Source organism: Homo sapiens, chromosome 1 (genome assembly GCF_000001405.40).
Source record: "Homo sapiens chromosome 1, GRCh38.p14 Primary Assembly".
NCBI lineage: Eukaryota > Metazoa > Chordata > Mammalia > Primates > Hominidae > Homo > Homo sapiens.
In genome coordinates, this window is record NC_000001.11 from 209,994,639 (window position 1) to 210,021,512 (window position 26,874).

Consider the following 26,874-nt stretch of genomic DNA (forward strand, 5'->3'; position numbering starts at 1 on the left):
ACACCAGCTAGATACTATAGACAGGAACCGTCACCAAAGCACATAGCCATCAGATTCACCAAGGTCAACATTAAAGAAAAAATCTTAAAGGCAGCTAGAAAGAAGGGTCAAGTCACATACAGAGGGAACCTCATTAGGTTAGCAGCAGACCTCTCAGTAGAAACCTCACTAGCCAGAAGAAATTGGGGGCCTATTTTCAACATCCATAGAGAAAAGGAATTCCAGCTAAGAATTTCATCTCTTACCAAACTAAGCTTCATAAGTGAAAGAGAAATAAAATCTTCATCAGATTTTAAGCAAATGCTGAGGAAATTTGTTTCAACTAGACCAGCCATATAAGAAGTCTTTAAGGGAGTGCTAAACATGGAATCGTAAGAACAATATCTGATACCACAAAAACACACTTAAGTACGTAGCTCACAGGTACTATAAAGCAACTATGCAATCAGTTCTACCTAACAACCAGCTAACAAGATGATGACAAGATGAAAATCATACATATCAATACTAACCTTGAATGTAAATACACTAAAACCCCACTTAAAAGACACAGAGTGGCAAGGTGGATAAAAAGAGAAAGCTCAACCATCTGTTGTCTTCAACAGAACCATCTCACCTCTTGTGACACCTGTAGGCGCAAAGGAAAGGGATGGAGAAAGATATGCAAACAGAAACCAAAAAAAGAGCAGAAGTCACTATTCTTATATCAGATAAAACATATGTTAAGCCAATAAAAATTAAGAACAATGAAGGACATTACATAATGATGAAAAGTACAATCCAACAAGAAGACTTAATTATCCTAAATACATAGACACCAAACATTGGAGCACCCAGATTCATAAAACCAGTTCTTCTTGTCCTACGAAAAGACATATAGACAACCACGTAATAATAGGGTGAGACTTCAACACCCCACTGACAGTGTTAGATCATCAAGGCAGAAAACTAACAATGAAACTCCGGACTTAAACTCAGCATTTGACCAATTGGACCTCATAGACATCTACAGAACACTCCACCCAACAACTACAGAGTATACATTCTTCTCATATGCATACTGAACATATTCTAAGAGCCAGCACCTGCTCAGTCATAAAACAAATCTCAGTAAATTCAAAAAAACTCAAATCATACCAGCCATATTCTCAGACCACAATACAGTAAAAATAGAAATCAGTATAAGGAAGATCTCTCAAAACTGCACAAGTACATGGAAATTAAACAACTTACTCTTGAAACTCCTGTGGGAACGTTGAAATTAAGGCAGAAATAAATTATTTGAAATTAATGAAAATGGAGACACATCTTACTAGAATCTCTGGGATGCAGCTAAAGTAGTTTTAAGAGAACAGTTTATAGCCCTAAATGCCTTCATCAAAAATTTAGAAAGATCTCAAATGAGCAATCTACCCTTGCACCTAAAGGAACTAGAAAAGAAGAAAAAATACCAACCCAAAGCTAGCCGAAGAAAAGAAAGAACTAAAATTAGAGAAGAATTTAATGAAATTGAGCTACAATAATCCATACAAAAGATCAATGAAATCAAGAGTTGGTTCCTTGAAAAATTAAACAAGACTCATAGACTGCTAGCTAGATTAACAAATACAGTTGGAAATGACAAAGATGGCAGTATAACTGATCCCACAGTAATACAAAAGATCCTCGGAGAATGATGTGAACAACTCTAATGCACACAAATTAGAAAATCTAGAGGAAGTGTATAAAATCCTGGAAACATGCAGTCTTCCAAGATTGAATAAGAAAGAGATTGAAATCCTGAACAGATCAATATAAAGATCTGAATTTGAATCAATAATAAAAACTCTACTAACCAAAACAAAAAAGACCTGGACCAGGTGGATTCACAGCCAAATTCTAACAGACACACAGAGAAAAACTGGTGCCAATCCTACTGAAACTATTCCAGGAAATCAAGGAGGAGGGACTCCTCCCTAACTCATTCTACAAAGCCAGCATCACCCTAATACCAAAACCTGGCAAAGACACAACAAAAAAAGAAAACTTCAGGCCAGTATCCTGAACATATTGATGAACATAGACACGAAAATCCTCGGCAAAATACTAGCAAATCTAATTCAGCAGCATATCAAAAAGTTAATTTACGATGATTAAGTAGCCTTCTTTCCTGGGATGCAAGGTTGTTCCAACATACATAAATCAAAAAATGTGATTCACTGCATGAACAGAATCAAAAGCAAAATCCACATGATCATCTCAATCGACACAGAAAAAGCTTTAGATAAAATCCAGTATCCCTTCATGACAAAAACCCTCACCAAACTAGGCATCAAAGGAACATACCTCAAAATAATGAGTCATCTATGCCAGACTCATAGCCAACATCATACTGAGTGGGCAAAAGCTAGAACCTTTCTCCTTGAGAACTGGAACAAGACAAGAATGTCTACTCTTAACACTCTTCTTCAACACAGAACTGAAAGTCCTAGCCAGAGCAATCAGGCAAGGGAAAAATAAAAGGCATCCAGATAGGGAAAAAAAGAAAAAAAAAAGTCAAATGGCTTCTTTTTGCTGACGATATGATTCTACACGTAGAAAATCCTAAAGACTCCACCAAAAGGCTGCAAGAACTGATGAACAATTTTAGCAAGGTTTCAGGATATGAAATCAGTGTACAAAAATCAGTAGCATTTCTATACACCAATAATGCCTAGACTGAGAATCAAATGAAGAACACAATCTCATTCATAATAGCCACACAAAAAATGAAATACCTGGGAATACATCTAACCAAGGAGGTGAAAGATCTCTATAAGGAATATTAAAAAACACTACTGAAAGAAATTGGAGATGATACAAATAGAAAACACTCTATTCTCATGAATTGGAAGAATTAATATCGTTAAAATGGCCACACTGCCCAGTGCAATCTACAGGTTCAATGCTATCACTATTAAACTACCAATGTAATTCTTCACAGAATTAAAAAAAGGCTATTCTAAATTTCGTATGGAACGTTGGATACTCAGGGACATAAATATGAGAACAGTGGACACTGCAGACTACTACAGAGGGCATGGGGGCATGGGTTACAAAACTACCTATTGGGTACTGTGCTCACTACCTGGGTGCAATATAAATAACCATGTAACAGGCCTGTATATGTACCCCCCTGTATCTAAAATAAAAGTTGAAAGTAAAAATTTATTATTTAAAATTGCTTTATTACTCTGAAGTTGGATATTTTTTCAATTTTAACGGTGATTTAACATTTAAGAATTCAACATTCTTCTTTGGTGACTACTCCATGGAAATTATTCTTGAAGATTTATAATGTTCTTTATTTAAAAAGTTAAAGGCTTTTTTGAGTAATTTTTTAAAACCATATGTTAAATTTTGCCGTCTTTTTTGTTTAACTTTGAATTTTGATTGCGTGTTTTTAAGACAGAGTTTTCATATTTGTACACAGGAAAAAAGTATTAATCATTTTTATTTCTAGGGTTTTTTTGTTTAATTTTATGTAGTATTTCTATACACCAATAATGAGTAGCTGAAAAAGGCCAAGAAGGCAATCACATTAACCACAGGTATGGAAAACAAAATAAAATAATAAAGTTAGCCATGGAGGTGAAAGACCTCTATAAGGAAGACTATGAAACACTGATAAAAGAAATTGAAGAGGACCCAAACAAATGGAAAGCCATCCCGTGCTCATGGATTGGAAGAGTTAATATTATTAAAATGACCATATTACACAAAGTGGTCTACACATTCAGTGCAATCCCTGTCAGAATATCAATGTCATTTTTAACAGAAATAGAGAAAACAACTCTAGAATTTGTATAGAACTAAAAAAAATACCCCAAATAGTCAAAACAGTCCCGAGCAAAAAGAATAAAGCTGGAAGCAGCATACTATCTGACTTCAAAATACAAGGCTATAGTAACAGAACAGCATGATGTTGATATTAAAGCAGACACATAAACCAATGGAATAGAACAAAGAACCCAGAAATAAATCTATGTATTTATATCCAACTCATTTTGACAAAAGCCCCAAGAACATATTTTGTGGAAAGAACAGCCTCTTCAATAAATGGTGTTGGGAAATCTGGATATTCATATGCAGAAAAATGAAACTGTACTCCTCTCTCACCATATACAAAAATGAACTCAAGATTGATTAAAGACTTAAAAGTAAGACCCGAAACTATAAAACTACTGAAAGAAAAAAGGAGAAATACTTCAGGACATTGGGTTAAGCAATATTTTATGGCTAAGACCTCAAAAGCACAAGCTAAAACCCCCCAAAATAGACAAATGGGACTATATTAAGCTAAAAAGCTTCTGCACAGCAAAGAAAACAACAGAGCAAAAAGACAACATGTTGAATGGGAGAAAATATAAAGTATTAGCAGGAACTTATTTGACAAGGAACTTATTTGCAGAATTTACAAGAAACTCAGTGGCAGAAAAGTAAATAATCCCATTAAAAAGTGGGCAAAGGAGATGAATAGACATTTCTGAAAAGACAGTTTCATATCACTGATCATCAGGGAAATGCAAACCAAAGCCACAACGAGGTATCATCTTACACCAGTTAAAATGGCTATTATCAAAAAGATAAAAAATAACAGATGTTGTCAAGGATGCAGAAAAGTGGGAATTCTTATACATGGTTGGAGAGAATGTAAATTAGTACAGCCACTATGGGAAACAGTATGGAGATATCTCAAAAAAGTAAAAATAGAACTACCATACAATCCAGAAATCCTTCTACTGGGTATTTATCTGAGGGTGAAGAAATTAGTTTATCAGTGGGATACCTGCATCCATAGTTTCTTGCAGCACTATTCACAATAGCAGAGATATGAAATCAATGTAAGTGTCCATTTTCCAATGAATGGATAAGAAAATGTGGTAAATTTACACAATGGAATACTATTCAGCCATAAAAAGAATGAAACCTTGTCATTTGCAGCAACATGAAAAGAACTAGAGGTCATTATGGTAAATGAAATAAGCCAGACACACACAGAAAGACATTGTATGCTCTCACTCATATGTGGGAGCTAAAAAAGTGGATCTCATAGAGGTAGAGAGTAGAATAGTAAATATCAGAGGCTCAGAATGGTGTATATGGTAAGGATGGGGGAATAAGAGGTTGGTTAATGCATATGAACATAGTTAAATAGAAGGAATAAGTTCTAATGTTCAGTAGCAGAGCAGGGTGACTAGTTAACAACAATATATTGTATATTTCAAAATCTAGAAGAGAGGACTTGAAATGTTCCCAGCACATGGAAATGATAAATACCTGAGGTGATGGATACCTTAAAGTACTCCAACTTGGTCATAACACATTCTATTCTTGTAACAAAATATCAGATGTACCCCATGAATATGTGCAAAAATTATGTATTAATAAAAATGTTTTTAAAGTTATGATTTTATTTTTATTTTACAGATATTTGCAAATGTATACAAACACTTTTTTGCTGTGGTGTATAAAGTATTTGCTTTAAAATTGTATATGTATATATTTACTGTTATCTCCCTATTTTAGTGTACAGTATTCTATATTTGTAAGTATTATATTAGTCCAGACAATTGAATCCTGACTCTGCCACTTACGGCTTTGTGAATTTGGACAAATTCTTTCATCACATGTTTCGGTTTCCTTTTCTGCAAGGGTAGTAGAGTTGTTGTGAAACTTGAATGAAATTATACATGTAAAATACGTGGGATAGTGCATGATGCAGAGTAAGCCTTGAATTACTTTTGTTGTAATTTTTATTAGACTTGCCAAAGTATGTTCATCTTATTTTAGTCCTTTGTCCTCATACGCACACACACACACACACACACACACACACACACAATCTAAGAAAATGTTCTTAGATACTTCTGTTGCTTTTATCGAATTTAATTTATTGCTGCTTTTCTTTTTATTATGTTCTCCTCCTACTTTCATTAGGGCTGTTTTATGCCTTCTTTTTTTTTTTTTTTTTTTGAGATAGAGTCTCACTGTGTCACCCAGGCTGGAGTGCAGTGGTGCGATCTCGGCTCACTGCAACCTCTGCCCTCCGAGTCAAGTGATTCTCCTGCCTCAGCCTCCCTAGTAGCTGGGATTAGAGGCGCCTGCCACCGCGCCAGGCTAATTTTTTGTATTTTTAGTAGAGACGGGGTTTCACCATCTTGGCCAGGCTGGTCTTGATCTCCTGACCTTGTGATCCACCCACCTCGGCCTCCCAAAGTGCTGGGATGCCTTCTTTTTAAAACTTGTTTCTGCGTGCCTCATAGTTTTCATCCTTTTGTGATTAAAAACACATTATTTTAAGACTGAATTATGTTTTTCATTAACCTCTGAAGAATGAAGTTTTATTGTTAAAATAATAAAGGACTCTTGTTTTCACTGAGGCTCATGGAGGCTAGAATTGAATGTTGTTTTGAATCCAGGGCATCCTAAAACCTCTTTAGTGCTGAAAATAAAACAAGCAGCTTTGCTGTGTTCCTAATTTTAAAGTTAATACTTTTGAATTGTAATATATTTTCATGAATTTTTTTGCTATATTATTTTGGCTGATTTCCTTTATCAGGCTAAGTAAGTTACCTTCCAGCTCAAATTTGCTAATTTTTTTTTAATTATAGGTTGCTATTGAGGTTTCTTAATAACTTTTTTTTTTGCCCTGTTGAAAGGATGTCTTGACTCCTTTACTTTGTTAGTGTGATGAATTCTATCAGTTGATTTTCTAATGTTACATTATTTTTACATAGTGGGGATAAATCTAACTCTGTCTTGATGTATTTCTCCATATATTTCTGGATTTGGGTTTTAGTATTTATATTTTACATTTATATTCATCATTTTAAATTACATTTATATTCATAATTATTGCCTAGCAATCTATCCCAAATATCAGCTGGCTTCCTGCCTTTTGAAGCGTACATGCTAGTATGGGAAGACAGATAACAAATGATATAAAAAGTAATAAATTATTTGGTATTTTAGAAGATAAGAGATACAAAAAATAAGCCAGGGAAAAGGTGAGGTATGGGTGTTAATGGGTTGCATTTTAAAATAGGGTTGACAGAGTTGCTCTTATTAAGAAAGTAATGTTTAAGCAAAGACTCGAAGGAGGTGAAAGAATCAGTTATGTGAATATCTGGGAAAATGCCATCAAAGCAGAGGGGGAACATCCAGGGAAAAACAACCTGGCTAATATGTGAGAAACATCAAGGCCGACTGTGGAATGAACTAGTAGGGAAGTGGTAGGAAATGAGGTCAGAGTAGTCATAGAGAGCCAGATCATGCAGGAAATGAGGAGCCATTGGAAGGTTTTGACCAGAGGACAGTCAGTTCTGATTTACATTTTGAAGGGCTCATTCTGGACACTGTGATAAGATTAGACTGAGAGGGACAAGATTATAAGTGGGTCATTCAGATAGCAGCTCTCGCAGACTGGAATGATTCACCAGGTATCACCATAACCAAGATAAACTGCCCATAAGAACTATACATTTTTTTAGTTCTTTTTAAATTTTGAAACAAAATGAAGAATAATACTTAAAAGCAAGCACCTATGTAACCAGAACCCAGGTAGAGAAGTAGAATGCCGCCATTTCTTCAAAAGCCCCCGTGCACTCTTCCTGAGTATTATCCCTTTTCTGCTTGCTTTTATGGACATTAATATTTTTTTCTTTAAGTTTTACCACCTAAGTACACATCCTTGAAAGATTAGTTTTGCCTGTTTTGAACTTTATATTGGAATCTTTATATTGGAATCTTGTCCCTTCTGCCTTGCTGCTTTTGCTTAACCTCATATTTCCAAGATTCAGTTTTTTGCATGTAACTATTATTCATTCATTTTTATGGCTACATAATTTTCTAGTGTATGACTATATACCCATGATTTTTTTTTCTGTACTGTTGAGTCTCAGATTTTTATCGTCTGAAAGATTTCCAATTGCTCCACTTCCTAACGAATACTTCATATTACAAGATCTAAATTTTGGCCATTCTGGAATAGTGATACTGCATTATGATGTAATTTGAAGTTTTCTGATACATAACAAAGTTGAACACCTTTTCATACATTTATTGGCCATTTTTGTTTTATCCTTCATGATAAGCCTGATCAGGACTTTGCCCATTTTTTTACTGTGCTGTCTTTAAAAAAATGTTTTTACACATTTTTTATGTATTTAGATATGAGCCTTTTCCTCCTGATTATGTGTTGCAAATACATTATTCCATATAATATATTATTGGGCTTGCCTAGTCATTATATCTTTTGATGATCAGAAATTTTAAATTTTAATGTAATAAAATTTATCAGTATTCTCTTGTGTGATTTATGCTTTTTATGTCTTGTTTAGTAAGAAATCCCTTGCCTTGGGATCATGAAGAAAAGTATTTGTATTTTTTTCTACAAAATTGATTGGCTAAAGCATTTCACATTTAGATCTATAGTCTATCTAGAATTGGTTTGTATGTAAATTCATTTTTCCCTTATATCCTCGATTTTCCAAGCACAATGCATTCAAAACATGATCCCTCACTCACCCACTGCTCTGCAGCCAACTTTGTCATACATCAGAATCCATGTGTGCAAGTGTCTGTGTCTGGCCTTTTGGTCTGTTATCTATTCCTGTGCCAATATCATCTAGTTTTAATTATTCTACTTTTAAAATAATTCTTGGTATCTGGTAGAGTTTCCTCCCTTTAGTTTTCATTCTGTGCCTGCCAAGAAACCTTTTAATTACTGTTTCAGCTTTTCAGGTACTCTAATACCAGGAAGATGTGTGTGTCCTGATTTCACATTCTGTTAACATTTCTGTTATTCTAATGGAGTTTTCTCCAGTTTAAATTTTATGTTGTTCATATATCCGCTGCCATTTGAATTTATTTGGATACTGTGTAACAGGATCTAACAGCTAGATTTTTTACCTCTATTCATTTTTTTTCCTCACATAGGCCCTCTAGGCCCTGAAAAAAGACAAGTTTTTGGTCTTCTAAAAGTGAGGGTAAGACAGTAGACAATGATGAACTCATCAAAGATCATACTGTTCTGGAAAGCAGCTTGCTGACCAGTCACTTGCTGGCAATGCTTCTTAACTTGCTCTCTTTAAGCCATTGCATTATATTCTTTAGCAGGATTAGGAAACCAGTTTCCCTTTTAAAATGCATTAAATATTGCCAAATCCTTACAAATAATTGGTTTTAATATTTTTTCCCACATAAATTTAATTTTATTCACAAATGATTTATTTTTTTAACAAATGCTGTTTCTGTTTGTTTTATTCTGCTTTTTAATTTTTTTTCCTTATTGTGAAAGTCTCCAAATGTATTCTTTACTAGGTGTTCTCAATTTTACTTTGAAATTGGAGACCATAATTGCTTTCATCAGAATCAGATAGCATAATAGAATGATTAGTTTTCACCAGTTAGAAACATTATACTGCTGATTTCTGTTTGACTCGTATTATATTATTTTAATTTTTTTCCTGACACATTTTACTGAGCCAACATTTTCATTAACATTTATTAGTGTTTGGCTCCTAATGGTGTAGTAACCTTGAAATTATCCATATTGAATTTCACTTTGTTTTGATGTGTTATTTCTTTAATATATTGAGGTCCTTAGTGTATCTTTCTTTCTTTCAGAGAATTAGCAATCATGCCCTACCTAGTATTCCTAGGACCTTCTACAAAATTAATGAACATATTCTCAATTCCTTTATTCAGGTCATTGGTAAAGGTATTAAGTAACACGGGTTTATATATCTCCCAAAATACCTAACTAAGATGGATACCACTGAAAGACGTGTCATGGTATACCACCAAATTTTACATCTCTTAATTTCATCATACATCTCTTAATTTCATCATTTCATTGCTTATCTTTTCTCTTTTTGATTGACAAATTCTTTCTTCAGTTAATGTTGATTTGGTGGCTGGTGACCCTTGTAGCACTACTTCTTACTTTATAACACCTTACTTATTGAAAAGTAGCTCCTACTTCATTTTAATTATTTAAAATTTGTATTTCAATCTCTAAGGACAGGACTCAAACTGTTTCTCACATGATTCTGCTCCAAAACTGCGATGCTTGTTCAGAGGTTACTCAGCAAATCTATCAGCAGCTGAACTTAAAGGATTGTATCTTTTCTCAAAGCTTTTAGAGTAGTTTTTCTTTAAAATTTCAAATATATTTGCTTTTACTATATCTGATACAGATATCATATCAACAAAAAGGTAGAATGATATCATTTTGCAAATGGAGCTACACATTTTTTATTCTAGATGCATTGAGAATGCAAGTGAGTAGAACATTCCAGTTGCTATATTCAGGTGGGAGCACAGTATGATGTTGATGTTGAGCTCTTGTCATCACTAACTGAACTATGCCGGACTCATTTATTTAGTGGATAAGAAAACATGATATGCTGGTAAGGTTAGATGAAGCTTTGATTGCCTATGTATGTGTTCATACACAGTAAATCTATTGAACCATTCAATGTTTTCAGCAAAAGCTACTTCTCTTCAAAATGGATCAGGCTTAGTAGGGGAAAGATGGTTTTAGAGTGAGCAAACAATGTTTTGATCATTTCAAGAAGAGAACCAGGTGTCCTAATATTAAAATTTGAGAGGAAGATGGTGTCTCTCTGAGAGATTTGAATGAAACTGCTTGGTATTTATCAGAATTTTGATGGGTTTGAACTAAATCTTGAAATAAGCTTATCTAAAACTGTAGTTGACATCACAGATTGGCTTTAACCAGAATATTCCCCTGCAATTGGTGTTGAATTCAAAATCTTACTCATAGTAGCTCAGCATGAAGATCTTATTGAAAAGAAAGAAAGAATCATTGAAAAAGTAAAGGAGAGGAAGCAGTGACCTTAGATATTGTCCATGCCGTTTCTCATTTAGATAATTGTGAAGGAATCCATACACATTGAATAGGTAATGAAAAAAATTGAGACAATTCGTTGTTCAAAAGAATGACTATGCTTTGCTGTAGGGAGATTTGCCAGGAAAATAAGTTTTTCTTAGTCTAAAACTTCATTAGAATCATAATTCTAAAGCCTCAATCAAGACTGTCCTTGAAGAAAAGTCTCTGCCAGAGATTGATAGAGTTTTATATTAAGATTTGGTTTAAATATATGAAGTACATTAAGTATTATTAAGTAAGAAGTATATGGTTTAAATACACTTTATATTTGGTTTTCCATACTTAATAAAAGTTTGGGTTTTCTTTTTTTTCTAATTTCTTCAAGATTGATTTAGAGTTTTTTGTTATGATAGTCAAATGAAATTTCAATTTATTGCATGTACTTAGAGGGAATACAGGTTCAATCTATTCATGGCTTGAACTGTGAAACAAATTGGGTGGCATCTGTTTTATCAACCTGTCCAGGTAGGTAACTGTTTCTCTTAGAGGGCATTTTTTTTCCCTAAGATCTTAGTGTTTCACATCACTACCATCTATGCCTTCTTCCATTGTCCCTTTAAGTTACTCACCAGTGAATTGTGTTACTTCTATCAGTAAATGCTCTTTGTAATGATTGTTTTTTATAAAATCTGGAGTTAACAGCTAGCATTGTTACATTCTTTTTTTAATTTACATATATTCTTTCCAGTTTTGCATTGTTTATAATGTAATACGAAAATTTGAGGGAAATTTTATTTGTAAACTAATTGAAATGTTATAAAAGGAAACTGAAACATACTAACCTTCTGTTTTCCTAAATTATCTCTTAGAATTATGAATAATTCTCTATGTCCAAACCCAGAGCAAAATAAATTATAGCATTTTTCTGATTAAAATATGGAGAAAATATTTACAGCTAATTAAATGTAAAACAGGTATATCTTTTTCAATGAAAGTTGACTTTGATAGTTCACATTTTGGTCAAGAGATAGAATTGCATCTATTAAATGAATTATTAAAGTATCCATGACATGGAGTTAGAGGATTAGTGTTTCATGCCCAGCAGGACAAATCAGCAATACATCCCTTATAATGCAAATTGTAAGTTGTTACTTTTTATCTTTTTAAAAAAATAATTAGATAAAGCATAGGTACTTTTTGTTTAATTTTGCATTTAAGATATAATGAATAGAATAGTCTTACAAAATTTATTTTAGAAATTATAATTAATTTGTTTTGATAGAAATATTATTTAGAGTATTATTGTGGTCCAAGTAAATCAAAATAGAAAATGTGTTGGTTTAGTAGATAAATATCCCCCATATATTTAATTATTTTCATGTATATCCTAGCATTTTTCTTAGAAAAACATTTTCTTAGCTAGAAAATGTTCTTTTGTGACAAAATATAATGGAGAATTTAAGTGAATTCTGCAATACTTTCAAAGTCGAAATGTATTTGCTCTTGCTTTGACTTTAGTAAGACTGTAATTTTTTCATTTTTTTCAATGACCAACTTATCTGTAGAAATTAAAATGAATTTTACCACTGTTACTGAAGCTTAAATTTTAAAAAATTGGTATTTTTTAAGTTTATTTTTTGTAAATACATATATTTATTTCTAAATATAAAGATATAACTGCCAAAGCCAGTTCAGTATACATAACACAAATAATCATTAGTCTTGGAAAGACTAAACTTTCTACATTTTCTGGTGAGATATTGTACCTAGTGCCCCTTCTCACTTTGCAGTATGGTCTTTAGGGAATTCATATAGTGGACGATATAGCTCACAGAGAGCAGTTAATATTCTTTATTGAGCACTACTAATGAATATCAAGCTATTTTCTATAGAGTATCTTTAGTTTTTAAATTCATATTTGTTTTATTAGCTTTTCAAATGTGGCATATAAGGAAGTACCACATATTTTGGTTTTTAAACTTAATTCTAAAATTAATTTTAAAATATTTTGAATAGTAACTTGAATAGAAAAAAATTAGAATTCCAGTTTTAAAATTCATGTATTTATTTTGAGGAAGTTGAAATTGCTTGCTATTTTTTAACATATATAAGAGCTATAAATAAAATATTTGCACATAATATATATAGTGAGCTATGTTACTTTGGTCATATAGCTTTTTCTTATCTTTTATATGCAGGTTGGCATACAAGGAGCAGTATTACTTGGTGTTTAAGATCATGGATTCTGGAGTCAGAATGTCTGGATTCAAATCCAGGTTCTACCACTTCATAGATTTGTGAACTTGGACAACTTAATTATTCTCTGGACTTCAATTTATTAATCTAAAGACTAAGATAATATTATAGTACTTATCATAAATTGTCTTGAGTGTTAAATTTTAAAATGAAAGCAATTACAACAATATCTGGCAAATGGGAAGCTAAGAGATTAGCAGTTAACAGTTTGGGTTCAGGAGTCAGTGTGCTCAAGTTCAAATACAGACTGTGTCACTGAATAATAATTTTAAGATCTTGAAAGTTTTACTTACTCTTTGTGAACCTCAGTATCTATATCTGTAAAATATGGTTGCAGTGAGGATTAAATAAGATAATGCTTGTAAAGGACTTAAAACAGTCCCTGTTAAATAATAAGCACTTTTTAAGTGTTTGATATTGTTCAGGTTGTTATTAGTTGGTCTTGGTTTTGTTGTTTACCACATTAAAACTTTGCAAATTTGGATCATGGGAAAACTTGCATTAGTGAAATTTGAGTTATTGACTGTATTCAACAAATTTAATTCTTCAAATGTGTAATATTAAACTAATTATTGGCTGTGTGCTTTTAAATAGAATTTTTTTTTTTCTTTTTGAGATGGAATCTCGCTCTCGCTCAGGCTGGAATGCAGTGGCGCGATCTCAGCTCACTGCAGCCTCTGCCTCCTGGCTTCAGGCAATTCTCCTGCCTCAGCCTCCTGAGTAGCTGGGATTAGAGGTGCCCGCCACCACACCCGGCTAATTTTTGTAATTTTAGTAGAAATGGGGTTTGCCATGTTAGCCAGGCTGGTCTTGAACTTCTGACCTCAGGTGACCCACCTGCCTCAGCCTCCCAAAGTGCCGGGATTACAGGCGTGAGCCACCACACCTGGCCTAAATGAAGATTTTGAAGATCCTCCTTAAGAGGCATGTGTGTTTTAAATAGATTTACTTTCCTGCAGTGGGTGGCCTAGAATGCTTGAAAGAAGGTATAGGTATAGATAAATTACATTATCTTATACTTATGCAGAATGACTTTCTAAGCAGATTCATAGTATACAAAGATTTTAGGGGAAATTCTACTCCTATAATGAATAAGAATATATTTTTTATTAGGGAGGTATGAATCAGTGTAATTTTTTAATTGATGGTGTACAGCAGGGGTGTCCAATCTTTTGGCTTCCCTGGGCCACATGGGAAGAAGAATGGTCTTGGGCCACACATAAAATACCCTAACAATAGCTGATGAGCTAAAAACAAATTGTAAAAAATAACTCATAAGATTTTAACAAAGTTTACAAATTTGTGTTGGGCTGCATTCAAAGCCATCCTGAGCTGCATATGTCTGGCAGGCCATGAGTTGGACAAGCATGTTGTACAGTATTCATATCTTTAGTTTAATTTCAGTGTATATCCTATTGCAGTTTTATGTACAGGTGGGATTTACCAAATGTTTTTATACTCAGAACTGTTACTGGCTGACTTCTGGTATCATAATGTATTTGAAATAATAAATATTAGTTTAGTTCTCAGATAAGGATGAAAAATAAGCCTGAAGATTTTTAGTATTTTTATTAGAAGATATTTTATTTCTTCTCTACAACCATACTACTGTTTTAAAATTATAAATAGATAAAATATTTTTAATGAATGTGAAAAACAGGCATTCAGTCAGGGTATTGTGTGAACAGTATGTTTACAGCAGGCATATTTCACCTTTTCCTAGTGGGGAAAGCTGCTTTTTTTTTTAATTTGTCTGAAGCTTTAGTATGTATTTATCTAAAGATATGTAACATAAGATATTTACCATTAATAAAGCCTGGCACCTGCATTTGCCAGCTTGGTATTATTTAGTGAGTGAAGTGTTTCATATGGAATAAGAGGAGCAAAAAAGAGGGAAAAATTTTCAAATTTTGTTAACTAACCTGACCTTTACCAGAACATCATACTCATATTTCCCTCTGTGAAATATTCTGTTGGCATTTCCAGTGTAGCATGTCAAAAACTAAATTAATTATCTGTCATTCTCCTTCTACTTTCCTCTTTCCTCCCATGCTCTAATCCAAATGCCTTTCTTCTCATATCCTTCATTTTGGTTAGTGCATTACCATTTACCCAGTCACTCAAACTAGAAACTTTAGAATTAACCTCAACTCTTCTTCTTTCTTATCCTCAACTCTTCTTCTTTCTTATCCTCAACTCTTCTTCTTTCTTATCCTCTAAATTTACATAAGTGGATCATTATCAATTTTCTTTGAACAAAGACTAGATTTTACCCTTCTCTGTTACCACTGCTACTACTTAGTTTAAGAACTGAAGATATTTTACCACTATTGACTTGCTACCATATTTCAGTTTTCTAGTTGTTTTAACCAATATAGTTCTACAAGGCAAACTTGTAATCATGTTACTCCCCAAATACAAAAATTTTTGGATGATATTCAAGGTTCTTTGACAATTTGGACCTTGCTTTCATCTCCAGTTACAGCTCCTCTGGTATATTCTTAATCTTTCCTGAATACACATACATTCATTCATTCATTCATCCATCCATCCATTTGTCCACAGATGTTTATATGTCAGCTATGTGGTGCTGTCCTAGGTACTTTGAAGATACAGAGGTAAATAAATATGACTGCCGTGATTATTGCCCATTAGTGCTTATAGAATGCCATGTATATTATTTCTGTCTTTAACCATGCTATTTCAAATGTACTTTTACTATTTATAGAGGTTCTATTCCTTTTTTATACCCTACTCAAGTGTCATCTCTTCTAAAGCGTTTTATGACTTTCTCAGGTAGTGCTTCTTTGTGCTCCAGTAATAATTTATAGTAATATCTCTATTATAGTATTTACTGTATGTTATACTTACTTGCTTATAGTGGATCTCTCCCATTAGGTTGAATTTTAGGGCAAGAGAAAGATGAAAGAGGAACGTAGAAATAAGGATTGAGGCAAGGGATAGAAAGAGGCAAGAAGAGGAGAGAAGGAAAACAGAAGCAGTATGAGTAGTATTTAAAATACAGACACTGGGGCCAGACAGGGTTTGAATCCTGATTCTTCCACTTACTATCTGAACACATAGTTTAATATCTCTTTGTCTCAATTTACAATGGGGATGATAATAGGATCATTGTGAAGATTAAATGAGTTAATGTATGTAAAGTGCTTAAAACAGTGAGTGGTGTATAGTATCTGCTGTATGGTTTTGTGCTATTTCTGTTATCAATAACTAGCTTTCTTAAGTGACATGAGCTACATTTTCTTTCATTTAGTTTTCCAAGACATGGGAGATTTTCAGTCTGCATGATATCTAATCCTTTGTAGCCACTGAAGGCATTAAATGTCTGAGTGTTTTGAGCCTGTACTAAAAGGGGAACTCCTATATATATTTTGTTATTACAGTGTAATATTGAAGTGCTACTCTTTTTTGCCTCTTCATACCAGATTCTGTCCTGCTTCTGATTTTCCTGGCTATCTGAAATGTTGATGATAATTACTCTGTTTTCATTTTTACTCCATATCTCAGGCTTGATACATACCACTGTTTTATGTCATATACCTTAGCTTCTTTTATTAAAATCATTTTCTTCCCTGGCTGTGCTTCAGCCTGAGGACAAGACAGGCAAGGCTAATGTCTGGCTATAATTTCTTGGTTCTAGGAGCAAGGCCTGTCCCTCAGCACCAGCCTGATATCCAGCTAGCACTCCTACCGTTCCTCCCGCCTCCTCCTCTCACTCCCATTGCCCCTGCCTTACAATATTACTCTCTGCTTCATCTCCTACTGCAACACCATTGACCCAGCTTTGAAAAGATATAATGTCTTATTCAATTCTATACCTGGTATACCTAGTTTTTATAAATAATGAAAAAGGAAATCAAAGCACTCATCATTGACCGGTTGTTGACTTCATTTTTAACAAATGAGTTAAGATACTATTTGCCATCGCCCTCTGATTTAAGGAAGAATCTTAGAGAAAATAACATTTTAGTTGCTGCTTGAATGATGGAGGAAGAAAAGTAGATTATACAGGGATCTTTGTAGGGGTGTTTGAAGCTTAGAATCATTCTCAACTAATACTTGAATATTATCTGTAAGGCATGGAGGATACAAAAACTTAGTTCCTGTTTAACTCCAAATGACTGATATAGGGGCAAATAATAAAAAAGTTGAAAGAGAGACTGCCGAGGACTGGAGAAGCTGTCTTTTGTCTTTTCTTGCTGTATAAAACCTCTCTAGGTGATTTCATATATTTGCTTGAGACCAAATTCTCTTGAAAATCTAGTAGCTTATCATAAAAGAATTTCATTCAGTTTCTGGAATATAATGTGATTTTCTGTCTCTGGGCTTTTGCAGATGTTATTTCTGCCTGAAGTGATTCTTACTAATCTCTTAAAATATAATCATAGAGTCCATAACTTCCAGAAAAGTTTTCTTGATCTTTCAGCACTGGAATAAGTGTTCCTGTGGTTCTCATAGTCCCTGTTCTTTCCCAATCATAGCCTTTCTTACACTATATTGTCTTTATTACACTGTGTTGTAATTGTCTTCACCAGATTGTTCAAGGAACACAGGAACTGTTTATATAACAATGCCTGGTGTATGGTTGGTGCTCCAAATATGTAAGTTGGTTGAGTGAATGAGTAGGATACAGTAGAGAGGAGTTGGTCGTTCCAGGCAAGGGAAGAAGATCAATAAAAACAAGGAGTGTGGTATTGAATATTGCGGATTCTGAGGCAATGAGTATAACATTTGACTGGAGTATAATATTGAAAAGAGAGGTTGGAGCTTTAAATGCCACATTAGGGAGTACAAAGTTTATTTACTAAGAAAGAGTGATTGAAGCTTTTAGAGATAAAAATAATGATATGTGTTCTCATAAATTTTGTTAAGTAATATATCCGTGCATCAGATATAACCTTTTTCTTTCTTTCTTTCTTTTTTTTTTTTTGAAACAGTCTCGCTTTGTCACCCAGGCTGGAGTGCAGTGGCGCGATCTCGGCTCACTGCAACCTCTGCCTCTCAGGTTTAAGTGAGTCTCCTGCCTCAGCCTCCTGAGTAGCTGGGATTACAGGTGCCCGCCACTACACCTGGGTAATTTTTGTACTTTTAGTAGAGACAGGGTTTCGCCACATTGGCCAGGCTGGTCTCAAACTCCTGACCTCAAGTGATCTGCTTGCCTTGGCCTCCCAAAATGCTGGGATTGCAGGCATGAGCCACCACGCCTGGCCTTTTTTCTAATTCTTATTTTCAAATTTTTGCAGTGCTCTTCGATGGATTAAACATATGATGATTGCCTATTTTATAGACTCCTGTCTTTTTTTTTTTTTTAGACAGTTTTGTTTTGTTGCTCAGGCTGGCACAATCTCGGCTCACTGCAGCCTCTGTCTCCCAGGTTCAAGCGATTCTCATGCCGTAGCCACCCAAGTAGCTGGGATTACAGGCATGTGCCACCATGCCAGGCTAATTTTTGCATTTTTAGTAGAGACAGGGTTTCACCATATTGGCCAGGCTCGTCTTGAGCTCTTGGCCTCAAGAGGTTCTCCCACTTGGCCTCCCACAGTGCTGGGATTACAGGTGTGAGCCACTGTGCCTGGCCGACTCCTGTCTTTCTTTTAAGATTGTTCCTATGAATTTATAAGGAAACTTAGAAAATTTGAATGAATGCTGCTGAATGAATTGAACAACTGTCATCAAACTTTGCAGTTTGTTTTTCTTATAAACGAAACTGTTTTTAAACTATGACAATTAAAAAATATAATTCAAATAAGGTAGTAAGCTAACTTAATGTTTGGGGTTTCCTTCTTATTTGTAGCTTAAAGAAAAATAAATGCTTACAGCTGTGACTTTTTTTTTCTCTAGTATCTCCAGAGGCAGTTGGATTTTTGTCAGCTGTTGGGGTGTTTATTATCTTGATGCTGCTCCTTTTTCTCTATATTAATAAGAAGTTCTGTTTTGAAAATGTTGGCGGGTTTCCAGATCTTGGTTCAGAATACAGTACAAGGAAGAATTCACAAGATAAAATTTGTAAGTATCGTATTGCTGCTTCTCTTGTTTGTTCTTTTTATCCGTACTATTATTTACTTATTTTAATATATGCAATAAAAAGGTTGGTTGTGACATACAATAAACTAATATTTGAGCTACTGTTCTGTAAAAGATCTGTTAAGTAAATTATGTTCAGGTATTCTTCTGTTGTTTATGAATTGCTGTTACATAAAGGTGAATTGTCTACTATGACAAAATGACATTTTAATTTTTCGTATGTAAGATATGCTTTTGAGCCTATAATAGGAGCAGATACACTTGAGGAAGAAGGAGGTATCTTGTTACTTTGTGTAGTGTACTTCCATTGTCCAAGTAGCTCTTTAGAGAGCTTTTTTTCTCCATATCCCTAGAATGCTTTTGAAAGTATTCACCCTTTTTCTTTACCTGCTATTTAATTTTCAGCTAATGGGTAATTTTATTGTTTGGAGGAGTTGGAGGTGGTTTTACTTAGTAACTTAATTTATATATAAATTCCGATGATAAAAAATAGTGTTCCACTCCCTCCCTTGGCACCATATATTATAGTGTTACTAGATACTAGGAAAGATGAGGGCTGTAATACCATTCTTTCTCCTATGGAAACATTTTCCTTGGAGTGTTTTTTTTTTTTTTAATTACTACAAGAGTTTTAAAAATTTTCTATTTCCAAAGACTGGTTTATAAAAATGATAGCAGAAACAAATTGGAAATTATAAAAGCAAAGTGTTAATTTAGAAGAATGTGACAAAAAATAGCTGAGAAATCTGGCTTTACTTGTCTGTGTACCTGTGTTGGAGATATGCTTTTCTCTTACATTTGATAACTTAAAAGGCGATAGCCCCATTACTTATAAGACTCTATTAGTTATTGAATTATATTTTGTGACTTTTGCATTAAGAAACTATAAATAGTATTTTATACAGTTTTAATTTGGTTAAGTTCAGTGTTTCTCATATTCCACTCCAGTTCTGCTTTTTGATCATTTGTGCAGAAAGAACTGGCTAAAAGTATCTCTTTACTGGCCTTTGGTAATTCTCTGGTTCAGCATTTCTGGTTTTTCCTTTGTTTAATGACAACTTTGTACTTTTAAATTTTATTGAGTAGTCCCAAAGAGCTTTTTGTTTATGTGGATTATATCTATTGATATGTACCATATTAGAGTTAAAACTGAGAAAATTTAAAAATATTATTTACCAATTTAAAACAGAAAATTTAAAAATATTATTAATTTATTTTTTTAAAAAAACAAGACTATTACATGTTAATATAAATATCATCTTTAAATTTTACAAAACTATTTTCCAAAACAAAAAGAAAATGGGGAAAAAGTGGTGAGAAGAGTGATTTTGTTTTATACTTTTTACAAATCTTTTTAATGACTAGCATAATGGAAGACAGCTGGATTCTCATTTCTGCCTCTACATTCAATCTGTCATGTAGCCTCTGGATAACTCCAGTGTTCACTTGTGAGCCAATGAGAATGAAAAAGTTAAGTACTCCCTTGCTGTTATTGTAAAACTAGTCTTGACCTTGAGGATCCCTTGAAAATGTCTCAGGGAACTTAATTTTTCTGAGCCTTGTTTTTCTTTCACTTATTAAATAGGAATAATAATATTTACCTCCTAGAATTACTGTAAAATCAAGTAGGATAAAATGTGTCAATTACAATGCCTTGCATATAGTAGCCACTCAGCAGGTGTCCACACTTCCTCTCCCCTATTCTTACCACTATGCAAAATTGTTTAGATATTTCTCTTTAATATTTTTCTTAATGTGAAATGATACTGGGTAGTTTATTAGTAAGATAGGGTAGTTCCCTTACGTAGACTGTTAATAAGCAAACTAAAAGTACATAATAAAAATCCTTTTTATACTTCTTTTTTCAGGTGTAGAATAAAAAACCAATAGTATTTGAGGGAAAAATATTGTCTTGCTGCTGTTATAATAGCTGTGGAGTGAGAAAAAATGTCATAACGTTTAAACCAAGTGGTTTGATTTTTTTTTTCCGGAAGAATCTTTACTTCAACATATTTCTTTCAATGCATAATGTATTTACAGAAAGATTAAAAGCTACAATGTGAATTGCTAATATTGAGCTGACGAATAGCAACATTTAAGTAAATGTTAAATTCAAGTTCCAAAGTGGTTGATATTTTCAGAAGAGAAAATTCCATTATTGCACCTTTTAGGAACAAGGAATTAGAAAATGGCATTTTTCAGAAATTTCCAACAGAATCTGCCTTCAGTGTCCTCTCTAGTAGACACAATCAGTAGTGCTGTAGAGGATTTGACCACTGCTGTTGGGGAGGTCAGCTATGCTTTAACTGACTCAGTTGCTGAGCAGGTAACAAGTATGATGAGTGGCTTTCGCCCAGAAGAGGAAAGCTCTGTAGCAGAAGAAGCTGTAGACACTTCTAAACAAAAAAATGCCGGGTTAACAGAAGTCTCCAAAAACACTAATTGTCAGAAAACACAAGCCAATTTAGAGCATAGAGCAAAGCAAATAAATACTTGTAAAACTTCACTAAAGCAAGATCAAGGAATACATGAAGAAAGAGTATTTAAACATGTTAATGATAGGCAACAAACTCTATCAGAATATCAAGACACTGGTAATACTGGTGATTCTTCTTTGAAAGGCTACATGAATAATGGTGGGATATCAGTTATCAGACAGAATACAAGGGCTGGATCTATTTGTCAAGAACTTGAAAGTACTGACAGATGTAAAACAATTGGAGTAGGAATTTCCAATAATGGTAAGAATGATTTAAAGGAGGTAGGATATCAAGAAATGAAAGGAAATCAGAAGAATGCCAACGGAATAAACAAATTGTATGAGCAAAAGAAATATGTTGGTACAGATAATTGTAAAAAGGAGGAATATTCTAAATCTCGACATGTATATTTGGGAAGAGATCAAGAGAATATGGGGCATTTCAATAAATGTAAACATCTTCCCGATTTAGGGCATTCAGATCATTTAAAGAAAGCTGAAAAATGTGTTAAAAGTAAAGCATCCAAAGGGAATGAGTGTTCAGGAAATGAATGTTCTTTAAAAGATATTTTGACAAGCAATAGGCATATGACACAGAAATCTATTATAAAAGAAGACATACATCCAGCACCATCAACTAATTCTAAAGATAAGTTATCTGGGAAAATTGAAGAACAAATAAATTCAACGAAATACTGTAAAGTGAACGAAGACATAAAACCAAAGAAAACTGAGGCCATTTCTGCCAAGAAAGGAACAGCAAAGAGTAAAGATGAAAAATATTCTAAGATAATACCAGAAAAAGGTGAGGTCTCCTAATGTTGGTGTGAGTGATTAAATTTTCTCTTGATTTTTTTTAAATTAGTAAAACATCATCCAAATTTCTCAGCTTTCCTGTTCATGTGTCTATATTTAAGACTTTCTTGAATCCTTTTACTGGGAAACATTTTTAAAGCCATTCAGTATTTTTTCTAAAATCATTTCAAGAGCATTCATGTTATTTGTCCCACTAAGTATTGCCCCTGGTCCCTGCATTATTTGGCCAACTTTTCAGCAGCCCTAGTTTTTCTTAATGTCCATTTATTTTACAACCAGAAACTCCATGGTTTTCTTACCTGCTTTATTTGGAGTTTATTTGATGTGCTGTAGTTGCATTTGAAATTTTTATATAACTAACTCTGAAGCCCTTTATACAGTATTGCTCTTTGCATCTATCCAAATTTATATCAAATGTTTAATTATTTCTTTGAGAGCAATAGATTTTATTTTATTCAATAATGTGGTTCACAATGTATTTTTATTCATTTCGCCCATACATTAAAAATTTTATATTACTGCCCTGTTTACAATAAGTATACGTGAATAATCTATTATTATTCATGAGTTCTCTATGTAGAATTAGGATTCTGACTAAGCATTTATAGTTTTCAATCACAGTATTTGTGATAATTTTCATTATTCACAGTATATGTGATAATTTTCAATATTCATTAGCAGCTCATACTGCTAATAATTACTTCTGGTAATCCCTTAGTCATATCCACTTATTGCTGATCTGATCACAAGGCCAAAAGTACACTGGCTTTTATTTATAAAATACACATCTGGAATTTTTCTCTAAGTTCATACTCTTGTAAAATAACAAAAAGCAGAATAGCGGTAATGAGGAAGACTTTTCAGTTCTGCTACGACTACATACATAATAGGGATCTGCTATTTATCTATTATATGAGTGGTTTTACAGTGATATAGGAGAGGCTAATCCAGGATGGATGAACTAACTTAAAAGAAATGTCAGTTTCTGAAAATGTATCCATTTTGGAGTCTATTTTTCTAGCAGTTTTTTGTTTTTTGTTTTGAGACAGAGTCTTGCGCTGTCGCCAGGCTGGATTGCAGTGGTGCAATCTCGGCTCACTGCCATCTCTGCCTCCCGGGTTCAAGCGATTCTCCTGCCTCAGCCTCCCAGGTAGCTGGGACTACAGGCACGCACCACCACGCCCAGCTAGTTTTTGTCTTTTTCATAAAGATAGGGTTTCATCATGTTGGCCCGGGATGGTCTCGGTCTCCTGACCTCGTGATCCACCCGCCTCGGCCTCCCAAAGTGCTAGGATTACAGGTGTGAGCCACTGTGCCTGGCCATTCTAGCAGTTTTTTGATTGTCAGATTTAGTGATCTTTGGTAGGCCTAGTTTAGTTCTGGTAGACTTACTGCTTAAAGTAGCAAAAATTAAAAAATAATGTAAAATAGTTTACATATTATTTTATTCAGAAAATAATGATAGAATGGATACTAGTAATAAGTACATTACAAATAGCATGTAGGGTTTTTAACTTTTTAAATTTGTTTTCATTAAGAAGCATGCTAGTACCTAAAGAAACCAAATATTTCTAACATATTCCACAATATAGTCAGTACTAAACTTATACACGCAATGTTCCCAAATGATTTTCAAAAATTGTTTGACACATAGATTAACCCTTCATTTAGCTGAATGGTAATATTACTGGTACCTGTGTTCCAGGTTCTGACACAGGGTTTATAAGGTATAGAAAAAGGGGGAAGGCCAGGCACGGTGGCTCACGCCTGTAATCCCAGCACTTTGGGAGGCCAAGGCGGGCAGATCACGAGGTCAAGAGATCGAGACCATCCTGGCCAACATGGTGAAACCCCGTCTCTACTAAAAATACAAAAATTAGCCGGGCATGGTGGTGGGTGCTTATAATCCCAGCTACTTGGGAGGCTGAGGCAGGAGAATTGCTTGAACCCAGGAGGTGGAGGTTGCAGTGAGCTGAGATCACGCCACTGCACTCCAGACTGGCAACAGGGTGAGACTCCTCAAAAAAAAAAAAAAAAAAAAAAAGGAGAAAGGGTTTTCTTCTTTATTTCTAAATGTAGGTTATGTTAGGTAATGTTTTTTAATAGGTGAAGTTTGACCACAGACTAGTTACCCTCCTCAAGAGACTCAAAACCCTCTGCTGGTTTAAGATCCCCACCATGGTATCCCAGAAAGTGCTAACAGCTCTGCACTGGGAGTCAGAGGTCTTAGGCTCGGCCATCTCATTGTTGTCTAATAGTATTTTCTGCAACAATGAAAAAGTCTTATATCTCTGCATTGTTCCATATAGTAACCGCTAGCTGCATGTGGCTGTTGAGCACTTCAAATGTGGCTAATAGCATGGGGAACTGGGTTTTAATTTCTGTTTAATTTTAATTAGTTTAAATAGCCACATGTGACTATTGGCTACATATTGGGCAAGCACTGCCACAATATATGACATTGGTGATGGCGTTACCCATTTATGGCTTTATTTTACTGATTTAAAAACTAGGACTAGACTAGATGACATATAACCTCCTTCTAACTCTAAGCATTTAGTTTCTGTCCTGTATTTTAAAAATTACTTATCCTGTAACTCCCACTCAAATTTCAACCTCAATTTCTTTACTACAGATGCTTAACTGACTATAAAGAGAAAAATAACCAGATTGAACTAATGAATTTTAACTACTGTAGTCTCTTCACCTTTCTAGAATTGTTTAATAATTCTAAGAAAGTTACACCATTGTGCAGTTTCAAAGTGGTTACCTTTTTAAAAAACTGGTAATAACTAGTGCTTTTTAGAACAATAAAAAATTTAGACCTCCTGAAAGTTTTGTTTGAAATTTAGGTATATTTAAGTAAAGTTTTCCTAGAAATTCTGCCTTTCACAAGCAGTAAGTGTTAACAGTTTGGTGTATATCCTTCCAGATAGTTTTGTCTGTGCATACCTATGTATGCATTATGTGTGTGTATATGCCACATGTGTGTGTATATATATTTTTCAAATGGGAATATAATTATAACTTCTACTTTTTTACCTCCTTTTTTCTCATAACATGATATTGTAGTTATTCTTTCCCTGAGAGTTCTTTTAAATTCACATCCTCATTTTTAATGACTGCATAATATATCATTGAATAGATACATCATAATTTATTTAAACAAAGCTCACTGATGGACATTTAGGTTATCTCTTTTGCCATTAAATACAGTGCAGTGAATTGTCTCAAAAATATATCTTTATTCATCTGTTAATTAATTTCTTAGGCTGAATTCTTAGAAATAGAATTGGTAAATTCCTGGAAATGGATCAGATTATGCAGATTTAAAAGTTTGATATATTTTGCCAAATTGCTCTCTAGGAAAGTAGTATCAGTTATAATTTCACCAATAGTATATACCTGTCCATTGCTGTATTTTACTGCTAGCACTGAGCATTATCCGTTTTGAAAATTTTGACCAAAACGAGAACCAGAAATGTGTCTTTTAATGTGAGTTATTTGAATCAGAGCTATAGTACTGGCAATACTTAGAACTTCACTTGTGTGTTACTTATACTTTAAAAAATGTAAATTGGTATTATAATTTACTTTATATGTAACATGGTTGAAAAATCCCTGTGACTAACAAACATTATTTATATAATAGAATATACAAACTGATCTTTTTCCAAAGCTTGGGCTTCTTATGTGAAAAAATTGTATTTTTTTAAATCTGAAAATTCAGGTTGTGTATAATATATATGTGTGTGTGTGTGTATATATGTGTGCATATATGTATATGTGTGTGTTTATATATATAACTTCAGCAAATTTTCTATACTTTATTGTGTAAAAATTATCATTTGACGGGCCCAGTAGGGCCAGGTGAGGGGAGGGAATTTTTTTTTCAATTACCGTTTGTTCTTCATGTCATTCCAAATAGATAATTCCTACATGGACAAAGATGAGCATGGTTCATCCTCTGAAAGTGAAGATGAAGCGCTGGGTAAATATCATGAGGCCTTATCCAGAACACACAATTCCAGACTACCACTGGCAGATTCTAGACAAAGGAACTATGCTTGGGAAACAAGGCAGAAATACAGTCCTCTATCGGCAGAGTATGATGGATACAGTAGTGAAGCATCAATAGATGAAGGTAAGATGGGCTGTTTTATTTTTTTTACATGACACACTATAGTATTTGATTACTTGTGCCTGAAATTCTAGGAATCTGTGGTTGCAGAATAAACAAGAGAGCACATACAGTACAGTCACATTTCTGGGAATGTAATTTATTCAAATTTGTATCTTTGGGCTCAGGCCAAAAATCAAAACCAATACCAAAACACCCCAAAGCAAAAACCAAATAATTTACGTAATGTGTTAATTGTAGCTCTTATTTCACAGTGAACAT

The 26,874-nt window shown here is 33.8% G+C and overlaps 1 protein-coding gene across 17 annotated transcripts in view; it reads left to right on the plus strand.

Moving 5' to 3' along the window:
* Nucleotides 1-26,874, plus strand: part of SYT14 (synaptotagmin 14) — a 233,173-nt gene that overhangs the window by 56,422 nt on the left and 149,877 nt on the right. For 9 of the 17 annotated variants that reach the window (NR_027459.3, NM_001256006.3, NM_001146261.4 and 6 more), the window contains 2 exons: nt 18,995-19,159; nt 26,401-26,616. Coding sequence is in view for 16 of the 17 variants with exons in the window: in NM_001146261.4 (NP_001139733.1) it covers nt 18,995-19,159; nt 26,401-26,616 (381 nt within the window). In the remaining variant the exon portion in view is untranslated. Of the gene's footprint in view, nt 1-18,703; nt 18,710-18,994; nt 19,160-20,542; nt 22,462-26,400; nt 26,617-26,874 lie in introns of those variants that run through there. The other 8 variants (XM_006711262.3, XM_017000931.2, XM_047417063.1 and 5 more) reach the window with 4 other exon arrangements.